An 8,570-nucleotide genomic window follows, 5' to 3' on the forward strand; every position below is an offset into this window, starting at 1 on the left:
GGTGTGTAAATTAACTTGTTTACTGCATTGAATCCTTTGTCATTTTTGTAATACTTTGATTATCTCCATCTAAATATTCAAACATCACCTCTTAACATAACCAGTGGTACACTTTCCATGATTTAGATATGGTGGTCTGACTAGCGTTGAAACTTGAGAGAAGCTAGCCTCAATAACAGGACCCAGGGATAACCATCTAGTTCTCCAGCGAAGGGCCTTAAGCCCTCTGGGGGTCCACCTTGTTGGTTACTCACTAATCAAAGATGTGCCCGGCCCCTAGTTTTCTCCTCCCTGACTCAAGTTCATGTCATTCAACTCTCTGCCTGGTTCACGGACTCATGGTATTCTGCCCTACTCCTGCTGCTTGGCTATCCACCAGTTACCAAAAGCTGAAGTTGATGCAACCACGTGAAATTTCTACAAGACCCTCCCCTCTTTGGGCTCCCATCACATTGTCACTACTGCCAGATGTCATCAGCGTGAGAGAATCAGTGGTGGTCCACAGGAGCATCTTGTTGTCCCTCCCTAAATGATACCAGCACCACTTTCCTCCCAAAATCAATGCTCCCAACCACAATACCCCCCTTGACTTCACTTGTGTTCCCAGCAAGCCATCAAAACTAGCACCAAGGCTCTCTCTAGGAGGCTATAAATATGTATGTTTTCCTTTTTTCTGTCTTTAAATGGTGAGTTAACACAAACAGACCTACATACACCAGACCCCAAGGTATCAATCTGGATCCCTTCACAGGATCCTTTTCCATTCACAGAACCAAGAAAAAAAAGCAAACTCTGAAGCCCAGCCCTTCCCTCCTCTATTCCGGAGCAGGCAGCTGATGGGACGCAAATGGGGCTGCTGAGCTTCAGGGTGGAAATGGAAGCCAGTGCCTTGTGCTCCTTGTGATGTGAAACGTGTTGCAGCTGCGCAGAGAAACAAGAGTTTTCACTGGACACAGTGCAAGGAGCAAGCAGGATGCCTTTCATGGACAGAAGCTGCATCTGTCTATACTTCAGCCATTCAATCAACAAACATTTCATGATCATCAGTTACTGCTATGAAAGGTAGATGCTGAGGGTAAAACAAGGAACAAGATGAGAATGCCCCACTCCCATATGGCACATGTAAAAGCATAAAAGTCTATCTGAATCATTTTTGAAACAGAAGGCCCATGACATTTCCTGCTGAGTCCACGTTGGCTCTTGTTTGTGGATACCAGCACATATTAAAATTATCTGAAATATTCAGTTGTGAGCCCCCTCCCCTGATATGGTTAGGCTTCGCGTCCCCACCCAGATCTCATCTTGAATTGTAATCCCCATAATCCCCATAATCCCTATTTGTCAAAGGAGAGACCAGGTGGAGGTAATTGAATCATGGGGATGGTTTCCCCCATGCTGTTCTCATGATAGTGAGTGAGTTCTCCCAAGATCGGATGGTTTTATAAGGGGCTTCTTCCCCTTTGCTTAGCACTTCTCCTTTCTGCCACCTTGTGTAGAAGGTGCCTTGCTTCCCCTTCACCTTCCACCATGATTGTAAGTTTCCTGAGGCCTCCCCAGCCATGCTGAACTGTGAGTCAATTAAATCTCTTTCTTTTATAAATTACCCAGTCTCAGGCAGTTCTTTATTACAGTATGAAAATGGACTAATACAGTGAGAAAAAAATAGCTCTGGAGGGCTGGGTTACATTCAGGACATGTACTAAATATTTTAATGCATTTTTTTAGCAAGCACGTAAAATGTCTCCCCCAAGGCTTTAAGCTCTCTTTCTACTTCCCTAAAGGTTTCCCCATCAAAATAGGAAATAAATATTGAAGCTAGAAAAGGCTTGTCCCCTTCAAAGTAAGTAAGGGCACGCTTCATGACAGGCATAACTTTCTTCAGACAGTGGGGGAGGACACTTAATTCCTTCACCAAAGAAAAAAAAAGTTACAAAACAGCAACCTATGGAAACAAAAACATGGAATCAATGCATCGCCTGAAATAACTTCTCTGTAGTCCTGAGGGTGGTGTTTTGTTTGGCTTGTTCTCCTTCCCACCTTTTTATACCCCACAAGGATCCTTCTCATTCTGTTGTAGCCAGGGCTCCTAGAGAAGGCTGTCAACATTGAAGGGCCCAGATCCCTTCTACCAGTTTTTCTTGTGCTTCCTATGTGCTTGTAACTGTGAATCTCCTGCTTTTCAAACAACTCTTCTGCCTTTTGTATGGGTATACATTAAAGGGGAAAATCAGGGCCTCTTCACACTACTCTGGCAAAATCAACCTGAACTGCTGGATTATAGGTCTTGGCATCTGGAGCTGCCTGCTTGAGCCCTGGCAGGTCTGGAGGCTTGGGGCTCTTTCATTGACTCAGGAAATATTTCTGCTTCCCACCCAGGACTTCTGTTGTCTCTTCCTCCCTTCTCCTCCCCTGCTCTCAGGACTCTTAGATGTAGCCCAGGTTTGCTTCCACACAGTTGACATTGGCGGTGCATGGTCTTCTCCCCTCTACGCCCTCAGATCTCCATGCCTGTGCCTATGACACGTGCCACCTGCACCTGTGTAGCCAAGCCTGGCTCCTCATCCGTGGCCACTCCTGCCCCCACAACCTGCCAGTCCTGCCTCCTTTTTGCCTGCCTCCTGCCTATCTTTACTTCACTGATTTATTTGGCTGGAAAATATTTCTACAACTTCCCCTCCCACACTCACCTGGGGCTATGACATTGTTGTGCACACTGGTTGGGCCTCGCCCCTGCCACCTAACAAGTACATCCTACAGGCCCAGGAGGGCATTATCTGTGGTTTTGAATTTCTAGTGTCTCGAACTGTACTGGCCCAGAGAGGACCTCAAATATGGAAAACTGAAGTGATTGCTTTCTGCACGCGTTACCTATGCACCCATGCATAACTCACACAAACTTACTGAATCTTCATTTACTCTTCTGTAAAAGGGGAGTAATCAAAGAAATGCACTTTACTAACAACAAGAGGATGGCATAGTTTATCTTTTAAACTGATAAAGATGTTCTGAAATAAGAATCTATGTTTTCAAGGGTACAGGACTTTGGTAGTTACACCATGACAGTAAAGATGCATATTTTAGGAACTTGGTGGGGGATAATTTGACAATACACATCTACATGTTTACATTGTACATACCCTTTGACTGACACTCCACTGTTAGAAATTTGTACTAAGGAAATAATCAGACCTACAACATAAGCACTTAGCTATAGGAATACTGGTCAAAGAGTTGTTGATCATACTCAAAAATTAGAAACAATCTAAATATGCAATAAGAAATATTTAGGCCGGGCGCGGTGGCTCACGCCTGTAATCCCAGCACTTTGGGAGGCCGAGGCGGGCGGATCACGAGGTCAGGAGATCGAGACCATCCCGGCTAAAACGGTGAAACCCCGTCTCTACTAAAAATACAAAAAATTAGCCGGGCGTAGTGGCGGGCGCCTGTAGTCCCAGCTACTTGGGAGGCTGAGGCAGGAGAATGGCGTGAACCCAGGAGGCGGAGCTTGCAGTGAGCCGAGATCCCGCCACTGCACTCCAGCCTGGGCGACAGCGAGACTCCGTCTCAAAAAAAAAAAAAAAAAAAAAAAAACAACAAAAAAAGAAATATTTAAAATAAATTATATTGCATTCATCTGATGTAATATTATACAGACATTTAGAAAGCTCTTATAGTCAAAGGATAAGTAGGTTACCTTTGGCATATTAAATGAGTAAAACTGATACTAAGTTGATATACCCATTGTGATATAATTTTCTTTGGTTCTTAAATATTTTTATATACCTAAGGAAAAAGATTAAAAGCTTATGAAACCAAAATATTCACAGTTTAGTTATCACAGTCTAGTGTGATTATGGGTAATTTTTATTGTTTTAATTTCATATTTTTCTGTTCAAAGTTCCATTGCTTGTTTAATTAAAAAAAACTTTTAAATAATATTATAAAATGACCATCACAGAAAAAAATATCATTAGGCAATATTGCCATGACTATAGACCTTTCTCCCTACACTGTTATTCTTACAGTTGGATGCTTTGAATCGGGAAGTGATATATCGCCTTGCTTTTCGCTGGAGAAGGAAGCGCCAGCCTTTGTGAGCATGTGTATCACAAGCTAACTAGCACGAAGATTGCATAGCTCTTTCTACATAAGGCTACTGTTCGCAGAAATTTGGTCCATGGTCTCCAGTCTCTTGGGGTCTCACGCTCTGTGAAAATCTTCGTGTTTTTCCCTAGCCCCCAGAGTCACCTTTCACACAGCGTCTGCTTGTAACCGCGGTCCCCACAGGAGTTTGTAGGATTTCTGTGCCAGCGGTGAAGGTGTTCTCACCTCATAGAGCAAGGTAGAAACTACGCAGACAGGCGCTGTTCTTTGGGATGAAAGCAGGGCCTTTGGGGCTCTTTCTTAGTGTCCCCGTTCGGTTGTAGACATAACACGCTTGCTTTGTGTAGGAGATCGGCTCTGCCGGCGCCCAGGGGCCCTAACGCAGTTCATCGAGGCCCGCAGGTCAGAACTGCAGTCTCACCTGTCTTGGCGGAAATGCGCTGCGCTCCTCCCTGTACTACATAAGCACGAGAATTCCACTACAGAAGAAAACCCCAGGCCTAGTGATGGCGGTTCTGGGCATTTTGCCAGCTTCTCCCAGGGTGTGCTTTCTGACCCCACCCACTTCTGATCTGTAATGTCATGGTCAATAGAAACTACTGGGCCCAAACGGAAAAGGCAAGGAGGAACACAGCGGGAAAGCCTATGGCGTTCCCTGGTGGCTACCCCGGGGACTGCACTCATAGATCCGCGTGTTCCGAGAAGCCTCTGCCATCCCGACCCCGGAGCCGTGCAGAAACCCGCGGCTCCAAAGAAAACCGGCTAGAACGCACAGGAAGCCCAGCCAGTGTTCAGGACACTGCGAGTGGAAGCCGTACGTCCCACGGACTGATCTAGTTTGCTGAAGACGAGCCATTTACTTCTAACCCCAGCAGCGGACATTGCCTTGCTCAAATATAAAATATATGAACCAAGACCGAAAGCAACTCTTATTGCGTTACTGATGAGCAAACGGGTTTTTAGAATGGTTAAGAAATGTCCCTTGTTTTGGGACCGTCATCACTAACGTATGCTTGGGATTCCTGATCGAGGAGTTTCTGAGCAAAGCAGCCCACCAATCCAGTGGCTGAGAACGGCTTGGATATTGGCTTCCAGGCGCATCAGAAATACCGAGGTTCTGACAAAGACGTGAGCTTCTGTCTGCCTTTGGGAAGGCCTTCTTCCAGTCCTGGCGCTGCCGCTTGCCTTCTGTTTGACCTGGGGCCAGGTCCTTCAATTTGCTAGGCTTCAAGTTGGAAAGTGTTACAGGAAAATAATAATGCGAAGTGCTTCTTAGAGTTATTGCACAGATTACAGAAGATAGTCTAATAGTACAGCTAGCATCCTGTATGGCTTACATTAAGGATTTGCTGATAGGAAACAACATCCCAGATAAAGTTTTTTCCCCTTAATTATGAAATATAACAAAGGAAAGTGTGTAGACTTATGCTTCAGGCCTCTGTAACATTTGAATGAATTTTGCACTTGTGAAGGTGACATCATTTTACAAAATAAGTTAATACTAAAGAATGACAAGTGGAATTTACAAAACATATATTCACAAAAAGAACTTGTTCTTAGCAGCTTTGTTTACAATAGTCCCCAAACTGGAAAAGGTTCATATGCATCAAGAGGTGAATGGACCTATTGTGATATATTCATCCAACGGAGTACTACCCTCAATAAGATGGGACAAATTATGGAAACATGAGATAGCATGGGCCAATCTCAAAAACCTCATGCTGAGTGATGTAAAGAGTGGATTCTATGTGGTGCCATCAAGGTGAATTTCTAGAACAGGTGAAACTAACCTGTATAGTGGCAGAAAATACATCATTAATTGCTGGGGTCAGGGAGTCGAGGGGACTGACTGCAAAGGGCACAAGAGGACCTTCTGGAGTAGTAGACATGTCATCAAACTTGAAATGGATGCATTGTACCATATTCAACCAATGCCTTAATCAATTTGATTGTAAAAAGTAGTAAGAAAACCACTGCAGGCTGGACGCGGTGGCTCACGCCTGTAATCCTAGCACTTTGGGAGGCTGAGGCAGGCGGATGGGAGGCGGAGGTTGCAGTGAGATGAGATCGAGCCACTGCACTTCAGCCTGGGCAACAGAGCCAAAAAAAAAAAAAAAAAAAAACCTCCGTCTCAAAAAAAATAAAAAAAAAAACACAGCAAATCATAATGCATTCTACTTAATTTAATGTATGTTTAGCTTTAGAGGATTCCTTTAGAAAAGCGTCTCGCTAAATGTGATTGAGAGTTCAGGAATTCCTTCATTTCTGTTTCTGTCTCTTTGTCTTCAGTTAAATTCATGCACTATTAAATGGAATATTTGTAAAATAAAAATAGAGTCTAAGTTCAATTTTACAAAAGCATATATATATATGTGTATATATAATATATAGCTCCCATATATATGTGTGTGTATATATAGAGAGAGCTTTATTTATTGTTTTTTCTTTTGCGGGGGTGCGGGGGGGACAGTCTAGCTAAAATATACATTCTTCTCTCTGTAGATATACCAGAAGAACATGACTCGATCAGTGTTGCCCTAATGTTAACAAAAGTTATTTTGAACTTAAGGTGATCAGAAATTTTACCTATCTGTACTTTTTCTGTATTGGTGGTATGGTCTATGCTAAGCGTGTATAATTAAAAAAAAAGAGAGTAACTTCAAAATGATTTGGAAGAAAAAATATGTACATATGTGAATAGTACTTAATTCCAGGTGATGGGAATATGGATGACTGGTTATCTTCTTCTTTCTGTATCTTTTATATTTTTAAATGGAAAAACTCAACGACCTGGAAGTGAAAGAACAGATTTGGAAGAGGTGTGGGGCAGGTGAGAGGAAAATGCAGAGTGAAACTCTGTCTCAAAAAAAAAAAAAAAGTTACTTGTAATAAAACTCACCAATTTTAAATCTACGATGTAACCATCTAAGGAGGTTTGTAGAATTGTGCAGCCATCAGCAGAGTCACGTTTTAGAATATTTTTGTCATTTCCCCAAATACCCTAAAGCCTCTGCACAGTCATTTCCTAATCTCTGGTGCCCATGACTGGGCCCCAACAAAATAAAAATTTGGAAATCCGACATCATTAAATTTCAAATTTTCTTAGATTGGGATTTTTTGTAGTGAATCATTGTCTTACTTTTGTGACGTTTGAGGAAATATTGCATTTTAGGGACTTTTTTGATGAACTTAATAATAGTCCTGTTCATTGCTCTTCGTGAATTGTTTCATTTTTACTGATAACTGATAGTTGCTACAAAACCTGGTCTGGCGAGCCTAAATGAATGAGCTAAAAAAAGAAAAAAATCTGCTATAAGAAATAGAGATAGATGATGAATTTGCACATAAGATTATGTGGAGTTAGTATTGTACCATCTTTATTCTTTCAGAAATTTGGTTGGTAACATTACAGATACTCCTCACATGGTTGGAATGCCTCTCATTATCTTCTTCAGGTTGCAAGGGCTCCAGAATAGTGACATAAAGGTAAACGTGAGTGCAAGATTTTTGCTGTAGTTCTTTGCTTTTTAATTTTTTTCTCTTAGAGGGATTAGCATCCATGTATCTGAAATAATAAATCAAGAGTAGAGATAGGCATTTGTACTAGTTTTCTATTGCTGCCTATTAACACATGCAACAAACTAGTGGATTGAAACCACAGAAGTCTGGAACAGAGGCTGGGTTCTCTGATAAGGGTTTTAGGAAGCTGAATCCAGGTGTGCCTGGCTATGTAATTATGTGGAGCTCAGGCTACTTCTCCAAGTTCACTTCAGGTGTAGGAGGAATTCATTTTGTGGGAGTTGAAAGACTGGGTTTTCTTTTTCTGTGCTGGCTGTCCCAATAACAGCTCATGGAGTCCTTCTCAAGCTCCCATTCTTCCTGACGTTACCTTCTTCTGACAGCTAGAGAAACCACTGGCATGTATGCAGTGATGTGATTAGATCCAGTTTACACAGGTAACCTCACCATCTTAAAGTCGTATAACTGGCTTATAACAACATAATCACCAGAATGATGTCTCAGCACCTTAACAGGCTTTAGAGACAAGGGTGTGGCATGTTTGGGGACCATTTCAGAAATTCCATCTACCGCAGTTGGACACTCACATTCCCCCATCTGCAAAATACATTCACCCTCTCCCCTAAGGTTTCCAAATTTCATGTCATTAAAGCGTTAGTTCAAAGTGAAAAATGGTATGTAGACCACACCAGATCAAAAATTTAAAATCTTATCTTAATCATCCACACCAAGTATGAATGAGGCTTCTGAGGGTGTCCTTGACATAATTCCCTTCCCTCTATCAACCTGTGAAACTGAACAAACAGCTTATCTGCCCTCAGTGTGCAATGGTGGGACAGACATAGAAAAACGATTCTTTTTTTTTTTAATTTTTTTATTATACTTTAAGTTTTAGGGTACATGTGCACAATGTGCAGGTTAGCTACATATGTATACATGTGCCATGC

The sequence above is a fragment of the Homo sapiens genome, chromosome 1 (genome assembly GCF_000001405.40).
Source record: "Homo sapiens chromosome 1, GRCh38.p14 Primary Assembly".
NCBI classification, from domain to species: domain Eukaryota; kingdom Metazoa; phylum Chordata; class Mammalia; order Primates; family Hominidae; genus Homo; species Homo sapiens.